This window comes from Homo sapiens, chromosome 21 (genome assembly GCF_000001405.40).
Source record: "Homo sapiens chromosome 21, GRCh38.p14 Primary Assembly".
Lineage (NCBI taxonomy): Eukaryota > Metazoa > Chordata > Mammalia > Primates > Hominidae > Homo > Homo sapiens.
In genome coordinates, this window is record NC_000021.9 from 32,771,326 (window position 1) to 32,789,815 (window position 18,490).

Here is an 18,490-nt window from a genome sequence, read left to right on the forward strand (position 1 = left end):
CTTCCTCCTCGTCCTGGAAGCTGAGCAGGCTGGCCCGGGGCACCTCTTTGTTCTCGCGAGGCCTCTTGCGCGGCTTCAGCCCGTTGCCGGGCTCCGCGCCGCCGGGGAAGCCGCCCCCGGCCTCAGCCCCGAGGCCCGGGGTCAGCGCGGAAGGCGGCGACGGCCCCGGGCCCAGCAGCGACTCCCCGCCAGGGGCCCTGTCGCCGCCACCGGGGCCCGCCTCTTCGCCCGTGCCCGGCGGCGGCAACAACGGCGGCGGCTCCTGCTCCTCATCGCGTTCCCGCTCTTCCTCTTCGGAGTCGTTCCGCTTGCGCACGTTCACCCGCCGGGCCTTTCGGAACATCCCCGCGGCCCGCACGGCGGTCGAATACTCGCTTCCACACCGCGGCCCCGGCAGCGCCGAGCTCGTGACGGCGCACGCGCGCTCTCCGGAGCTCCAGCCGGGTCGAGTCCTCTGTTGCTACCGCGCACCCCACGAGCGCGCATGCGCCTATGCTCCCACGCGCTCTCAATACTTGGAGAAAGAGAGAGAGTGAGAGAGAGAGAGAGAGAGAGAGAGAGAGAGAGAGAGAGAGAGAGAGAGAGAGAGAGAGAGAGAGAGAGAGAGAGAGAGAGAGAGAGAGCGAGAGAGAGAGAGAGAGAGAGAGCGAGAGAGAGAGAGAGAGCCCCACACCTCTCGCGAGAGCGTCGGCTCTTTGCATCGCTCTCTGTCGGAGTGGAGTACTATTAGCATGGAACTCTGGTGTTGTTTGACAGGTCACAAAGAGGATCATAGAGATGAGAAGAAAGAGTAGGCTCTGTTGTCCCTCAGACGGCGCTGCTGCAGTGCGTCTTCGCACTTACGCGGAGCGGTAATGTGAGGAAGCCTCCCGCCAAACAGATGAGGGAGGAGGAGGAGGGGAGAGGCCAGAGAGAGAAGCGGCTTTCGGGAAGGAAAGTGTGATCTAGTAGGTGGAATAGTCCTCTCCAAACTTTGACCTGAGGTGTGACTATTGGTAATTACTAGTTATTCTTGAGTAATACTTTGTATTTCTACAGCTTTATAGCTACAGAGCTCTTAGAAAGACATTGAATTTTATTTATGATACAATGTTACTTCAAAGACATTGAATTTCATTTATGGTACAATGTTACTTCAAAGACATTGAATTTCAGTTATGATACAATGTTACCTGGCTTGATGTCCCCCGTTCCCCAGTCTTTCAGGAACAAGGAAAGCAAAAGTGTTTCCGTGTTTTCTAAAGAATGCCAAGTTTGCAAGCAATTCTATGACTAAATACTTTCCAAAGCTTAGTGAGTTTCAGAAACAAGTGGAAGGAAAATAGAGCAGGGGGTGGGGAAGGTTGTGACAGTTCTCAGACTTGCGTGACAAAGCCCTCGCTGGCCACACCTTCACAGGGTGATTGCGCCTAAGGTTGAACTCACCGGCTTTCCCTATCTCATCACCGAACTAGAAGTTTTTCCTTCGGGCATGCACCTGTGCATGCGAATTCATTTTGATGTTTCGAAATTAAAAGGGTATTCGGTAGAGTGAAAAAAATCCACCCATGTCTGGAAGGCTGTTCACTTCCTCAGTGGCAATGTTAACAGTTTCTTATGATCCTCTAAAGATGTTCCATGAACATAAAAGCAAATAAATATGCATATTTTAATGTGTTCCCCTTTTTACACAGATGGTGTGTAAGCTGCATTTTTAGCCTACCGTAGATTGGAGATCGGCCCATATCTGTATATGAAGGGTTGTGTTTTTTTGGTTTTTTGTTTGTTTGTTTTGAGACTAAATTTCGCTCTTGTCGCCCAGGCTAGAGTGCAATGGCGCGATCTCCGCTCACTGCAATCTCCGCCTCCCAGGTTCAAGTGATTCTTCTGCCTCAGCCTCCCTAGTAGCTGGGATTACAGGCACGTGCCACCACGCCCAGCTAATTTATTTTGTATTTTTGTATTTCACTCTGTTGGCCAGGATGATCTCAATCTCTTGACTTCGTGATCCGCCCGCCTCAGTCTCCCAAAGTGCTGGGATTACAGGCGTGAGCCACCGCGCACGGCCGTCTATTTTTTTTTTTAACCCACCTGCGTAGTGATTCATTGTTGGGATATACCGTAATTTATTTAACCAGTTCCATAAACATTGATATTTAGATTATTTCTAGTCTTAATCAGTGCTGTAATGAAAAGCTTTGAAAAACTGTTACATCTGTAGGATGAAATAGAATTGAAATTGCTAGATCTCAATATATGCATTTATGATTTTGCTAATTCTAAATTTCTTTTTATAGAAGTTATGCAGTTTGCACTTATATCAGCAAACATTAGGATGCCTGTTTGCCCACACCATCCTGTAGAAATTTCAGTAAGATTTAAATTCCAGGTTGAAGTGGAAGATCCCGAGCACTCCAAGCATTTCTTTTTATTTTATTTATTTATTTATTTATTATTTGTTTGAGACGGAGTCTTGCTCTATGGCCCAGACTGGAGTGCGGTGGCACGATCTCAGCTCACTGCAACTTCTGTCTCCCATGTTCAAGCTATTGTCATGTCTCAGCCTCCCGGGTAGCTGGGATTACAGGCATCTGGCACCACACCCGGCTAATTTTTGTATTTTTGTTTTGTTTTGTTTTGTTTTTTAAGACGGAGTCTTGCTCTTCTCGCCCAGGCTGGAGTACAATGGCACGATCTCAGCTCACTGCAACCTCTGCCTCCTGTGTTCAAACGATTCTCTTGCCTCAGCCTCCCGAGTAGCTGGGATTACAGGCACCTGGCACCACACCTGGCTAATTTTTGTATTTTTAGTAGAGACGGGGTTTTGCCACGTTGGCCAGGCTGGTCTCAAACTTCTGACCTTGTGATCCGCCTGCCTCGGCCTTCTGAAGTGCTGGGATTAAGGCATGAGCCACCACACCCGGCCTAATTTTTATATTTTTAATTAGATTTGACATGTGCACAACTAGGACTCAGTTTTGGAGCTAAGAGCATCCTCTATAACATTAACATTTTCTTCTAGTTAATAGGAAGGGTTAATAACATCTGGCTTCCATTCTACTTATGTTACTCTCAGTTCTTATATTCTGGCTGTTCAGCATTGGTGTAAGTTCTGATTCCAACAGTGTTTCACTAGTGAAATTGAACTCCCTTTTCTAATCATAGAAGATTCAAATTGTGCCTGATCAGCCTCCAGACACCTGAGCCAAGAGAAAGATTTGCAGTAAAATAATTAGGGTAGAGGTAGCAAAGACAAGGTCCAGAAGCCAAATATGTTATTATGGTGGCCTGAAATTTCAAAAATTTCTCCCAGTGTAAAAGTGGTGATTGGATATGGATAGAGGGAAGAGTACCTCTCATTTTAAAGTAAGCCACAATACAATCACTTGTCACTTGACGGGGATACATTCTGAGAAATATGCCATTAGGCAATTTCATCACATACTTACACAAACCTAGTGGTGTAGCCTACTACATACCTAGGCTGTATGGCATAGCTTATTGCTTCTAGGCTACAAACCTATACGGCATGTTACTGTACTGAATACTGTAGCACTTGTAACACAATGGTATCTGTATCTAAACATAGAAAAGATACAGTAAAAATACAGCATAAAAGCTTTAAAAATGGTGCACCTGTATAGGACACTTACCAGGAATGGAGCTTACAGGACTGGAGGTTGCTCTGGGTGAGTCAGTGAGTGAGTGGTAAGTGAATATGAAGGCCTAGGTTATTACTGTACACTGCTGTAGATTTTATAAACAACTGTACACTTAGGCTACACTAAATGTTTAAACATATTTCTTTCTTCAATAATAAATAGCTTACTATAACTTTTTTACTTTATAAGCTTTCTTATTTTTTAAAACTTTTTTGTTGTTATTGTTTTGTTTTGTTTTTGTTTTTTGAGATGGAGTCTCACTCTGTCACCCAGTCTGGAGTGCAGTGGCGCGATCTCAGCTCACTGCAACCTCCACCTCCCAGGTTCAAGCAATGAGACAGAGTCTCACTCTATCCCCAGGCTGGAGTGCAGTGGCGTGATCTCAGCTCACTGCAACCTCTGCCTCCCAGGTTCAAGCAATCCTCCCACCTCAGCTTCCCAAGTAGCTGGGATTATAAGCGTGCACCACCATGCCCAGTTAATGTTTGTATTTTTAGTAGAGATGATCCGCACACCCCACAAGCTCCTGTGTTGGCCAGGCTGGTCTTGAACTCCTGACCTCAAGTAATCTGCCCACCTCGGCCTCCCAAAGTTCTGGGATTGCAGGCATGAGCCAACGTGCCCAGACATTTTTTAAAACTTCTTGACTTTTTTTTTTTTTTTTTTGAGACAGAGTTTTGCTCTTGTTGCCCAGGCTGGAGTGCAGTAGTGCAACCTCAGCTCACCGCAACCTCTGCATCCAGGGTTCAAGAAGTTCTCCTGCCTCAGCCTCCTGAGTAGCCGGGATTACAGGCATGCACCACCACGCCCAACTAATTTTGTATTTTTAGTAAAGACAAGGTTTCTCCATGTTGGTCAAGGCAGTCGCAAACTCCCGACCTCAGGTCGTCCACCTGCCTCAGCCTCCCAAAGTATTGGGATTACAGGCGTGAGCCATCGTGCCCGGCATAACACTTTGCTTAAAAAAATACACATTTACAGCTGCACAAAAATATCTTCTATTTTTACCATTTTAATTATTTTGTTTTACTTTTTAAACTTTAAAGCTAAGACACAAACACACACATCAGCCTAGGCCTACGCAAGGTCAGGATTATCAGTGTCACTGTCTTCCACTTCCACATCTTGTCCCACTGGAAGGTCTTCAGGAAAAATAACAAACATGGAGCTATCATGTCCTATAAAAACAATATCTTTTTCTGGAATACCTCCTGAAGGACCTGCCTGAGGCTCTTATATACTTAACTTTTTTTTTTGTAAGTAAAAAGAGTGCGCTCTAAAATAACAGTAAAAAGTATAGTATAGGCGTCCCCAACCACCTCCCACCCCTGCAGGAGGCAAGTGGCCAAAGGTAGACATTGTTCTCTCTCTTTTTTTAAGTTTATTTTTAAAATGTTAGAAGCCACAAAGCCAATAAATATGTAAAAAATATTCTATATACATTAGCTGATGTCTTAGTCCATTTGGGCTGCTACAACAAAATACCATTAATTGGGTGACTTATAAACAACAAATTTATTTCTCACAGCTCTGGATGCTGGGAAATCCAAGGTTAAGGCACTGGCAGATTTGTGTTCCGGTGAGGGTCTGCTTCCTGGTTCATAGATGGTACCTTCTAGCTGAGTCCTCACATGGTGGAAGGGAGACAACTGTGGTTTCTTCAGCTTCTTACCAGGGCACTAATCCCATTCATAAGGGCTCCACCTTTGTGACCTAGTCACATTCCAGCATCTCTACCTCCTCTGCTATCACACTGGGGATTAGTGTTTCAATATATACATTTGGGGGGAAGATAAATAGCTGGGCCTTAACAACTGATGAGGCCTCACTAAATATGCGAGAAATAAGATAAAGCAGGGGTCCCCAACCTCCAGGCCACAGACTGGTACCAGTCAGTGGCCTGTTAGGAACCGAGCTGCACAAGAGGAGGTGAGCGGCGGGTGAGCAAACAAAGCTTCATCTGTATTTGCAGCCACTCTGCATCACTCGCATTACCACCTGAGCTCTGTCTCCTGTCAGATCTGCAGCAGCATTGGATTCTTACAGGAACACGAACCCTATTGTGAACTCTGCACATGAGGGATCTAGCTTGTGCACTCCTTATGAGAATCTAATGCCTGATGACCTGTCACTGTCTCCCATCACCCCCAGATGGGACCATCTGGTTGCAGGAAAACAAGCTGAGGGCTCCAACTGATTCTACATTATGGTGAATTGTATAATTATTTCATTATATATTACAATGTAATTGTAATAGAAATAAAGTACACAGTAAATGTAATGCATTTGAATCATCCTCAAACCATCCTCCACCCCCTAGTTCATGGAAAAATTGTCTTCTATGAAACCAGTCCCTGGTGTCAAAAAGGTTGGGGACTACTGGTATAGCAAATACATAAACCAGTAACATAGTCATTTATTATCATTATGGAGTTTTATGTGGTATATGTAATTGTATGTGCTATACTTTTATACCACTGAAACAGAGGTTTCTTAATACCAGCATCACCACACACATGAGTAATGTATTGTGCTACAGTATTATGATTGCTATGATGTCACTAGATGATAGGAATTTTTCAGCTCCATTGCAATCTTTTTTTTTTTTTTTTTTTGAAACAGAGTGTAGCTCTGTTGCCCAGGCTAGAGTGCAGTGGTGCAATCTCTGCCTCCAAGTTCAAGCGATTCTTGTGCCTCAGCCTCCTGAGGAGCTGGGATTACAGGCACGTGCCACCACACATGACTATTTTTGGAATTTTTAGTAGAGACGAGCTTTCACCATTTGGCCAAGCTGGTCTCGAACTCCTGACCTCAGGTCATCCGCCTGCCTCACCCTCCCAAAGTGCTGAGATTACTGGCATGAGCCACGGCGCCTGGCCGCATTGCAATCTTATGGGACCACCACCATATATGCAGTCCATCATTGATCAAAACATCATTATGCAGTGCATGGTTGTATTCAGATACAACAGATTTATTTATAACTTTGCCAGTCTACCTATTTATATAGTTAAAGAGCAAAGTTAAACATTTAAAAGTTATCTTACTGCCCAAGCAAGCCAAAGGTTCTTCTATCAGAAGTTATAGAGATTGTGGAAATTAAATTCCTGAAATTGAATAGCTACCTTAACTGCCTGTCAGCTGGTATATTATCAGAAACTAATTACTTGATAAAGTACTTCTGTACTTTGAGTATCAAATATACTAATTTGTTTGTTGATATAGTATGTCATCACCATTTAATATTGCAATGCTTTTAGTATCCTGGGAAGACAAAGAACTAATACATCAACCATTTTGTTTCAATCAATAAATTGTTCCTTTAAAAAAAGTCATCTTTCCAAGCAATAATTCTGGTTAGTATTTTTCCCATGAAATTGTGACTTTACATGGATTAATTGACACACAGATTCAGACAAAATAGGCAATAAGCAGTTTGGTTTGCCAACTCAGTCCTAAACCATGCAGTCTGGAACAATGACTACCAAATTCAGGTCTGTGAACTTGTGAAAAGTTTTCCCTACTCAGCTGCCAAAATAAAAGAGGAAGGACAGTCTGTGTGTATAGAGTAACCAGATGTCCTTTCTTGGAAGAAATAGTCCTTTATTCTGAAATTATGTGCCTTTTTTTCTCTTTCATGTTAAGATGAGAAAATTTCTTTATTTCTATAAACAATGATGCTAATATATGGTAGTCTGTGAGTTTATCTTCATACCCTTACTTGGAAAACTGAAATGTAGTAAAAGCTATAGGCCCTCCTCAATTTTTTATTTTATCTTTAAAAAATTTTATCTGGTAGGTGAAATATAACAGCCTAGGAGTCCCTGATCTAGGATTTTCCTTTTTTTAAAAAAACTATAACTCTGGACATCTCAATAATTCTATTCTGGAAAAAGGCTGAAGAAATAATGTAATAATTTTTTAGATTGATTTAGACCTTACTTTGATGAAGGCAGTTCTGCAGTAACTTAAAGTAGAATGTCAACTCATGGGTGCCACGGTTTGAATGTATCCCCCAAAATTCATGTGTTGGAAACTTAATTCCCAATGTAACAATGTTGAGAGGTGAGACATTAAGACATTAGGTCATGAAGGGTCTGCCCTCATGAATGGATTCATGTGGTGGTCGCTGGATTAGTGGGTTAGTTATCTTGGGATTGGCTTCCTCATAAAATGCATGAGTCCAGCCCCCTTTCTGTCTTGCTCTCTTGTACTCTCTTCCCCTGTCACGTACTGCCGTGGTATGTGGTGCAGCAAGAAGGCCTTCACCAGATGTGGCCCCTCAACCTTGAACTTTCCAGCTTCCAAAACGATAAGAACTAAATTTCTGTTCTTTATAAATTATCTAAGCTGTGGTATTTTGTTATAGCAACACAAAATGTACTAAGACAATAGGGGAAGAGATTTTTATGTTTTGTTCACTGCTGTTTTCACAGTATGTTCAATGGCTCTTGGCACAGAATAGACAATATTCGTTGACTGAATGCTATTGGACATTATCTGTTTATTGAATTAGTGATAAATATTTTACCCTACGTTGATATAAATGGACATATTCTACAGGTAACAACCCTTTATTTCTAAAGCATGATCTCAATGTATTATAAATTACTGAAGTAGATTAGTTCTTTTCTTTTTTTTTTTTTGAGACGGAGTCTCGCTGTGTCACCCAGGTTGGAGTGCAGTGGCGTGATCTCGTTTCACTGCAACCTCCGCCTCCCAGGTTCAAGTGATTCTCCCGCCTCAGCCTCCCGAGTAGCTGGGATTACAGGCATACACCACCCGCCCAGCGAATGTTTGTAGAGACGGGGTCTCGCTGTGTTGCCAGGCTGGTCATTAACTCCTGACCTCAGGTGATCCACCCACCTCGGCCTCCCAAAGTGCTGGGATTACAGGCGTGAACCACCTCGCCCGGCCGATTAGTTCTTAAAGTAGTAATAGACATCTCCCCTCCACCTTTGGGAACTGCCTCCTCTAGGGAGAAGAGTACCCCGTGAGTTAGGAAGCCAGGTGATATGGTTTGAATATTTGTTCTCTCCAAATCTCACGTGGCAATGTGACCTCCTGTGTTGGAGGTAGGGCCTGGTGAGAGGTGTTTGGATCATGGGGCAGATGCCTCCTGAATGGCTTGGTGTCATCCTGTAACAAGTGTATTCTTGCCCTATTTGTTCCCATGAGAACCTACTGTTTAAAAGAGTCTGGTACTTCCTCTTCTCGCTCTCTCTCTCTCTCGCTTCTGTCTCACCATGTGACATGCTGGCTTTCCTTCACCTTCTGCCATGAGTAGAAGGTTCCTGGGGCCCTCACCAGAAAAAAATGCTGGTGCCATGCTTCTTGTACAGCCTGTGGGACCATGAGCCAAATAAACCTCTTTTCTTTATAAATTACCCTAGCCTCAGGTATTTCTTTGTATCAACAACAACAACAAGGGCACACACCCAAAAAGAAAAAAAAAAAAAAAAGAAATGGACTAAGACACCAAGTTACATTGTACTGGCTGATGCAAAGTGGGCTGATCAGAATCTCCCGAGATTTTGCCCTTGAAACAGAGACAGTGAGTCCCTGCTTATGGCTGGAATTGCAATGAACTCAAAAGCAGTAGGAAAGCCTTAAATTACATGTCAACTCAGGAGCCAAGAAAACTAGTCAATGTAGCGAGAGAGAAGAATGAGGACAGAAAGGATACTCTGAGGGCTTCTGGTACCTTCCCAGGTCCTTGACTCTTCCAGAAGCTGGACTGCACGCCATGTGTGAGTTCCCTTGATCTTCTTGGAATCCTTATAATAAATTTCCTTTTTGTTATTGTTGGTATTAATGATGTTTTATTGTGTTACGTATATTTGCTTAAAGAGTTATTTTCATTTTATAGTAGGGTAAATTTTATCTGTGTACCTTATACAATTGTTTTTAAAAGTTCACTTGCTTAATAACTCTTCACCTATAGCTTTTGTTCAACAGAGTTTTTCTCTTATTTCTTTCTTTTTAAAAACTATGCACACATACATCCTCACAAGCAGGCATTTAAGCAGCAAGTAACAGTGAGGAATGCTCTCTCTCCTGCAGGCACATAGTTATTGCAAGTAACTTGCTAATAGAGATAAGTACCTCTGTTTAGAGCATATAAATGGTCCTAGTTAAAATTGTTAGTAAATTTATACTTTGTATCAAACTCTATTAAAATGTAGCCATTGGTTCTAATTGAATGAGATCATTGTTTCTACTAAAACTTTGACTCAATCCAGGTTTAAAAGACCCCAAGGTTTTATTTATTTATTTTTTTAAATAAAGTTGTTACTTTAAAAATTATTGGCCACATTAGTATCCCCAGTGGAGATTCAACTCTTATAAATGTATTCCACTCATGAGTGTTTTGGCAATTCAGCTATAATGGTCATTTCTTCATTTTCCAAAATGACACTTTCTTCAACCAAAAGAAAGTGAAATTTCTCTTTATCCAAACTAAGGCCTTCACCAGATGTGACCCCTCAACCTTGGAACAAAAGTAAATGTTTTAATGAAGGTTACCTTGTTCATCCTAGTTTATTTTTAAGATGTATCTTCTATTTAGACCAGGTATTTCTCTTACCCATTCATTCAACAAAATTTATTGAACATGTTTGATGCTCTAGGCATTGTGCTAGGCAGTAGGGACACAACAGTGAATAAGACAGATGTTTTCTTTGTCCTAGAACTGTAGTCAGCTGCTAGAGATGTAAAAAGTCAATAAACAAATTAATTGCTAATTGTGATTATAATTGTGAACGAAATCAATAGGGTACTACATCTTAAGAACTGATATAAAATGATAGAAATTTCAGTTTGAGTTTATTTTTTCTATGTGCTGTAGGGGACAGGAAACATTCTCTTTACCCTCTGAAGGACTGAAGTAAATAGATAGTAGACAGAGTAACAGGAAAAAAAGGCACACAAATTTATTATATGCACAGGGGCATCATAGGAAAAAGTGAGTACCCTATAACCGAATGATATTGAGAAGCTTATATACCTTCTTCAAAGGGGAGAGACAGGGAAGGATGTAGGCAGCTTAAGGTTGAGAAAATAATTTGGGGAAAAGATGAATAGGTGTTAGAGCCTGTGCCAAGTCTCTCTGGGCATGATGTTGACCTTCAGTCTCTTCTCTTGGGTTGCAGTTGATCTTCCTTGGTTGAAGAGATTCCTGGGGAGGAGACTCATGACAATTGAGTTTCTTTTTGGAGGATCTATCTTTAGGCAGGTATGAGAAGTTCAGAGAGCCTCTCCCTGTGCTTTGGGAAAGAAAGAGGGGCCAGAGACAGGAGGGCAGGAGAAGGTCAGAGAGACCCTGGTTCTGAGGCTCCTTCTGTGGTTTTCCAATCTCCTTTAGTTCAAAGTACTCAGCATGCTAAAGTGGCATGCTTTGTGGTATTGTGAGCCCTAACAGTGCCAATGGCCAGTTAAGTATCTTTATCATTAGAAAATGTGTAAGGACTTTGGGGGCTGAGGCAGAACATTTTCCTGCAAGATAATTACAATGAACAGCTCCAAGGTGTCTTCAGTAGTAAACTTTTCTTCAAACATTTCATGTAAAATGGGCATTTGAAATCATTTTGTTCAGTTCAGTATTTTATATCTTCTAGTGTTACTATGTGAAAGAGTATTATTCAGAACCATAGTAGAACAAGATATTTATATTACATTCACAATGGACACTTTATATCTGAGAATAGTGTGACCAATGAAAAAGCAAAAATACCAATCTATGCACCCTTTCTGAAAGAACCCGCTTACCACCTGTTGGGTCAGTATCATTCATACATTATTGTGCCTCTTGAAAAAAATTTGAAGCAGATATATTATGGAAGACGACAGTTATAAACATGCTCTCTGGGTATAAAGGATAGAAGAATTGATGTTTCTTTTTTTCTGTATTGTTTAGTGTTACTAGAGGGCAGCAAAGTCATACAATAAACATACAGTAAGCTTAGACTATGATTACCTAACAGAATCAGATGCAGCTTTGAATTTGTTAAAAACTACAGATGGACTTTGAAAAGTAACTTTTTCCTAATTATAAAAGTACTGCTTGCACATTTTAGAAATTCAGAAAATGCAAAACAATACAAAGAAGAAAATGAGAATAACTTATAAACTAATCATATGGTTTAAATCTTAAAAGGTATTAAATGTTAATTTTTGGTTCATTCCCTTCCTGATTGCTTGTGTTTAGTCATTCTCTGCTCAAAACACCTAGACTGTTTTCTGTTTTCTGCACAGATACAGCATCTATTTATCTACAGTAATGTTCTCTGTGTTTTTTAACTAAATGGTATCATGCTCTATGTGTTATTTTATAACTTGCTTTTTCCTTTTAGCTTGGGATTTGCAGCTCTTTTAAGTATGTTTAAATATACTTCATTCATTTTCCCAACTTTTTATTTTGGAAAAATTCAAATGATAAAAACAAGCAGGGCCGGGTGCGGTGGCTCATGCCTATAATCCCTGCACTTTGGGAGACCGAGGCGGGCGGATCATGAGGTCAGGAGTTCGAGACCAGCCTGGCCAACATGGTGAAACCCCGTCTCTACTAAAAATACAAAAAAGTTAGCTGGGTGTGGTGGTGCATGCCTGTAATCCCAGCTACTTGGGAGGCTGAGGCAGGAGAATCGCTTGAACCCAGGAGGCAGAGGTTGCAGTGAGCCGAGATCGTACCATTGCACTCCAGCCTGGTCGACAGAGCAAGACTCCGTCTCGGGGTAAAAACCAAAAAACAAAACACAAGCAGGAGGCTGGCATGGTAGCTCACGCCTGTAATCCCAGCACCTTGGCAGGTCCAGGCAGGAAGATTTCTTGAGGCCAGGAGATCGAGACTAGCCTGGGCAATATAGCTAGACCCCATCACTATAAAAAATTAAAAATAAAAAAATTAGCTGGGTATGGTGGCACACACATATAGTCCCAGCGACTCAAGAATCACTTGAGTCCAGGAATTAGATGTTACAGTGAACTGTGATCGCACTACTGCACTGCTTCCTGGGCAACAGAGAAAGACCCTCTCTCAACACACCAACACACATAACAGCAAGAATAATACAACGATTACCCACATATCCTTCACCTAGATTCATCACTGTTAATATTTTGCTACATTTGCTTTCTCTCTTTATCTTTGCTGAGTCATTTCAAAGTTACCTGCAGACATCCTGATACTGCAGCCCTAAATACTTCAGTGAGTATCCCCTAAGAACAAGGGCATTTCTCTACATACCCATAATACAGTTATCACACTCAGGAAGTTTTACATTAACATACTACTGTTATCTAACATCGAGTCCATATTCAAAATTCCCTCACTTATCCCAATAATGTCTTTCATAGCTGTTGTTTTATCCCCAATCTGGGATCTCGTAAAGATTGTGCATTGCATTTAGTTGTCATGGGTATTTAGTCTCCTTTATTCTAGAACAGTCTATCCGTTCTTTTTTTCTTCTTTTAACTTTCATTGACTCTTTTTTATTTTTTATTTTTTGAGACGGAGTCTCGCTCTGTCACCCAGGCTGGACTGCAGTGGCAAGATCTCGGCTCACTGCAACCTTCACCTCCCAGGTTGAAGCAATTTTCCTGCCTCAGCCTCCCAGGTAGCTGGAATTACAGGCATGCACCACCATGCCCGGCTGATTTTTGGTATTTTTAGTAGAGACGGGGTTTCGCTATGTTGGCAAGGCTGGTCTCGAGCTCCTGACCTCAGGTGATCCACCCACCTTGTCCTGGGATTACAGGTGTGAGCCACCACGCCTGGCCAACACTGACATTTTTGAAGCGTCCTCATCAGTTTTTTTTTTTTTCTTCTCCAGAATGACCCTCTATTTGGATTTGGATTACACAAAGTTTAACGTTTTTTGGAAAAATCCTACCTAGGTAATGTGTAGTTCTCAATGCATCATGTCAGGCAGCTTATGATGCCAATTTGTCCCATGGTAAGTTTTTTTTTTTTATCTCTATGGGTGCATAGTAGGTGTATGTGTTTGCGGGGTACATGAGATGTTTTGATACAGGTATGCAATGTGATCATGGAGACACATGGGGTATCCATTCCCACAAGCATTTATCATTTGTGTTACAAACAATCCAATTACACTCTTTTAGTTATTTTAAAATGTACAATTCAGTTATTGGCTATGGTCACCCCTGGTAAGTTTAATCACTCAGTTATGGACCTTTCTCCATTGTAAAGGTCCTACTTGTAGTTAATAAGTAATCTGTGGAATGATGATAATTTTAGACTGTGTAAATATTCCTCAGAATTTCAACCAATCATTTTAGCATCCATTAATGATTCTTTTCAGAATTCATGATTACTATAGCATTTGCAAAATGGTAATTTGGTATTACTCTCTATTACTCCTTCTAAATTTATTAGTTGCCAATGTTCTGTAAATCAGACTTTCTCTTCTTCTTTCCCACTTTTTATTTTTTTACTTTTTTTAGTGACAGTACAGACTCATGGAGTCTTTTTCAAATCAATATGCTAAAATCCATTTCTGTAATTGATCGTTTTGATGTTCATATTGTCCCTAATTTGGCCAGTAGAACTGTCTGCGATGGGTTCTGCATTCTCTTGCTACATCTCCATCAACTTTTTGACCTTATCTTACTTTCTGTCACAGTAAGATGTTTCAAGCTCACTTTATGTTTTTGTTTCTCCAGACCCCTGGAATCAGCCATTTCTTCAAAACCCTATTTTTTGTTTGTTTGTTTGTTTTAATGGGGAATGGTGTTGAGAAACCACAATTTAGGTGTCAGGTGTGTTCTTTGCCACAGGGGTGTCATTGCTTCTAGGCTTTCTCAGAGGATAAAGCTAAGACATATGTCTTAAAAAGCATGAGTTTGGCCAGGTGTAGTGGCTCACACCTGTAATCCCAGCACAACAAGGGAGGATTGCTTGAGCCTACGAGTTCGAGACCTGCCTGGGCAACATAGTGAGACCTTGTCTCTACAAGTAATTAAAAAAATTAGCCAGGCATAATGGCATACATCTGTAGTCCCAGCTACTTGGGAGGCTGAGGTGGGAGGATTGCTTGAGCCCAGGAGGTCGAGACTGCAGTGAGCTATTATCATACCACTGCAGCACTCCATGCTGGGTGACAGAGCAACACCCTGTCTCAAAAAAAAAGAAAAAAAAAGTGATGAGTTTGCACTGATACCTTTAATTCCAATCCAACATCCCAGGCTTCTGCTCCTTCCCTCACTTCATATTTCCTACCATTACAACTCTGGATGGACCTCCAAAAATTTGAGTGTATTTACTCTTTTGCACAATCCTACAAAGTGGTTTTAGAATTGTTGTACCAATATTATCACCACCAACAAGCCTACTAAAGTTTATAATTTCTTTGCATTTTTAAAAACTAACAGTGTTTTATTTCTTTCATAAAAAATCTTAAATGTGGCAAAATGTTCATATTTGTCAATTCTGGATGATAATTACATGAGTGTTAGTCATATTATTCATTCTTTTCTTTTTAAAAAATTCTTATTGAAGTATAGAATGCATACAGAAAAGTGCATTTATTGTACATGAAGAGCTAAATGAATTTTTACTAACTGGCATATGTGTATGTGTGTGTGTGGGGTGCTTCTCTATGTAGATATACAAAAATATAAATGTTGTTTTCTAGCTTGTGTAAATTTTAAGACACATTCCTAAATTGTACTTCAAAGTGACTGTACCAGTTTATTCTCTTAAATAGAGACTATTTGCCTACAGGCATGACAAAATGGAATATCAAATAACTTTACTTTTTGCCAATCTAGTGGATGAAATATTAGTTTCCTGTTGCATTTCTCTGGGTAGAGGTAATTTTTTTGTTGTTCAGTTATTGGCTACTTGTTTTCATCTTAAAGTGAATTGCATGCTTATTTCATCGTTTTTCTATTAGATTGTTAGTCTCTTTGTTTTCTACTTTAATACTATCTAATTTAACATTATGAGATTTGTCTTGGGGTAAGACTGTAACTTTAAGCAGTAAGCACTTGTTCCAGCATCATTTGTTTATTTATGTAAAAATGGGCTGGGCATGGTAGTTCATGCACTTTGTAATCTCAGCACTGCGGGAGGCTGGGGCGGGTGGATCGCTTGAGTCCAGGAGTTTAAAACCAACCTGGGCAACATGGCAAGACTCAGTCTCTCCAAAATTGCAAAATTAGCCAGACGTGGTGGTGTGCACCTGTAGTCCCAACTACTCAAGAGGCCTAGGTGGAAGGACCGCTTGAGCCCAGGAGGCAGAGGTTGCAGTGAGCCAAGATTACGGCACTGCACTCTAGCCTGGGTGACAGAGTGAGACCTTGTCTCAAAAAAATAAAAATAAAATATGTATGTAGAAATGCTCTTATTGGGTTTTCTCTATTATGAAAGTGATTTTGTGTGTTTTAAATTTTATTTGTATAAACTTATGGGGCATAAGTGCAATTTTGTTACATGGATATATTACATAATGGTGAAGTCAGGGTTTTTCGTGTGTCCATCACTGGAATAATGTACCTTGTGTCCATTAAGTAATTTCTCATCATCTACTCCCTGCTCTTTCAAGTCTTGATTATATGTTTATTCAAAAAATAAATATATCTCCCAGTAAATAAATATTTCTCCCAGATAGGTAGAAAATAAGAATTGCCCCCATACCATCACCACATATGATACTGTTTTTAGTGTGCGTCCTAGTCTGTTTTTTATTTTTTGTTGTTGTTTTGTGTGTGTGTGCTTCTAACACCCTCAATTGACTTAATTTCCCTTTCCATTTTTTTTAATGATTTTACTATTAGCAAGTACTTTTTTTTTTTTTTTTAGTTTAGGATCTGTCTTTGAGGCATCCTTCCTGCTGTATTTGTCTATCTATGGTGCCATTTATATTGTCTTACAATTGTCTTTAGGAGAAATGTACTCTCTGTAGAGCCAGCTCTCCCTCATTGCTTTCCTAGAGTCTGGGTAGGATAAACATGACCTTGTGCAACATTTTGAGTTGTGACTCTGTATTAGTTTGTTCTCACACTGCTAATAAAGACACACATGAGACTGGGTAATGTATAAAGGAAAGAGGTTTAATTGACTCACAGTTCCACATGGCTGAGGAGGCATCACAATCATGGCTGAAGGTGAATGAGGAGCAAAGTCACGTCTTATATGGTGGCAGGCAAGAGTGTGTGTGCAGGGGAACTCCCCTTAATAAAACCATCAGATCTTATAAGAACTCACTATCATGAGAACAGCATGGGAAAGACCCACTCCCATGATTCAATTACCTCTCACCAGGTACCTCCCACAACCTGTGGGAATTGTGGGAGCTACAATTCAAGATGAGATTTGGGTGTGGCACAGCCAAACCATATCAGACTCTGTTAAATGAAAAAGCCTCCGTACATCATTATTCTTGTAACAAATCACATCCAATTTACAAGTGTTCTGTAAATTCTGGAGAAACAGAGGCCCTGAAGTTATTCGTGAGCAAGTCTGGGAAATGGAAATGGAGGTTCCAATTCCTGTTTTTACTAATTTAATGTGTATAAAATGTTATCTATATCTTTTCTTCATTCCTTTGTTCCTTCCTTTCTTTTGAGGGACTTTCATAGGTTCATTCAAGAGTTTTAACCCCTAACTCATTTTTCTCACAAGGCCTTAAATTCCACAACCTCATCATCTACCACCTTTGGTGCTTTCAGAATCATGACTCTCAATGTTGAAGAATGGGCTACTGCATGGAAGGTGGGTGCAAACCCCTAAAATTTCCACCCCTGGTTCTGGAAAGTGAGAAATTGGGGATTTCAATACTGCAAGCCATCCTTCACATTCTAAACTCATTGTCTTTACTTAGTTCCGTCAGCATTTCTTTCTTCCAGTCAGTGGGGTATTGGCATGGACTTGTACTGGCTCATAAGAGCTGATTGGTAAGTTTTCAGGAATTTGCAAGCTGGTTGTTAAGCACAGTCATTATTGAAAGCAAATTATGTAAACTTACAATTAAATAAATTATATCAAAACCAAAAATAATAAATACTCAGAACTTATCACTTCCTAATTATTTTACTTCACTTTACTATTATTCATGCTTTTGGGGTTAGTTGTGCCTGTTGTATAGGTAGGGTGGAAATACTATATAATGCTGCCCTATTGTATGTCTTTTCTCAACTCCATGTTCTCTTGGTAGCATGAAATTGGGTTATGGTGGCAGTATTTACACCACTACATATCAGAGTGTGATTTATGATTTTGTTGAGTGTGATGGAGAAAATGTTAACGATGCAGATTAAACTTAAAAGTGTGTCATGTCCATAGCCCTTACATTGTGAATAGTCCCCATACATGAGAAAATATTCCTCCAGTATTTGAAAACTATTATTTGATTCAGCAAAGAAGTTGCTTTCATCACTGACTAGCAAGTGACATTCTCACATATATCTTTGTTGTTTAACTTTCCTCTTACTTCTAACATAAATGAAAATCTCAACCAATATTTATACCAAAACTATACATGCTCATCAGTTGCAACCCTAGGTTGGCTTTGTGTACAAGAGTTTGGCAAAAATCAAAGCATTCTTTGAGAACTAATGATGTACAAAGAGTATATAATAAAGAGTAATCTATAGTTTATTATCATTTGTAAATTGTGTGCTACACATTCTTTACATCCGTAAAATTGAAATAAACTATGTACATACATATCTGCGTACTTTTTTGAAGACTAAAGTGAAAGCAAGTTTATTAAGAAAGTAAAGGAATAAAAGAATGGCTACTCCATAGGCAGGGCAGCCCTGAGGGCTGCTGGTTGCCCATTTTTATGGTTATTTCTTGGTTATATGCTAAACAAGGGATGGGTTAT

The 18,490-nt window shown here is 40.5% G+C and overlaps 1 protein-coding gene and 1 long non-coding RNA gene across 9 annotated transcripts in view, besides 1 other annotated feature; one reads left to right on the top strand and one right to left on the bottom strand.

The window, feature by feature from the left end:
• PAXBP1 (PAX3 and PAX7 binding protein 1) overlaps window positions 1-430 on the bottom strand; it is a 37,857-nt gene extending 37,427 nt beyond the window's left edge. For all 7 annotated transcript variants that reach the window (NR_027873.2, XM_006724066.3, NM_016631.4 and 4 more), the window contains exon 1: window positions 1-430. Coding sequence is in view for 6 of the 7 variants with exons in the window: in XM_006724066.3 (XP_006724129.1) it covers window positions 1-343 (343 nt within the window). In the remaining variant the exon portion in view is untranslated.
• Window positions 97-1,086: an enhancer, noted in NCBI's record as "OCT4-NANOG-H3K27ac-H3K4me1 hESC enhancer chr21:34143733-34144722 (GRCh37/hg19 assembly coordinates)". NCBI's record gives its function as "activates a minimal SCP1, AML or CMV promoter by ChIP-STARR-seq in naive H9 embryonic stem cells {active_cell/tissue: H9 hESC(naive)}" and the evidence as "EXISTENCE:reporter gene assay evidence [ECO:0000049][PMID:30033119]".
• Window positions 775-18,490, top strand: part of EPCIP-AS1 (EPCIP antisense RNA 1) — a 25,608-nt gene continuing 7,892 nt past the window's right edge. The window contains exons 1-3 of one of the 2 annotated variants that reach the window (NR_024622.1): window positions 775-995; window positions 13,472-13,594; window positions 17,287-17,376. This is a non-coding gene — a long non-coding RNA (EPCIP antisense RNA 1). The remainder of the gene's footprint in view (window positions 996-13,471; window positions 13,595-17,286; window positions 17,377-18,490) is intronic. The other variant, NR_024623.1, reaches the window with a different exon arrangement.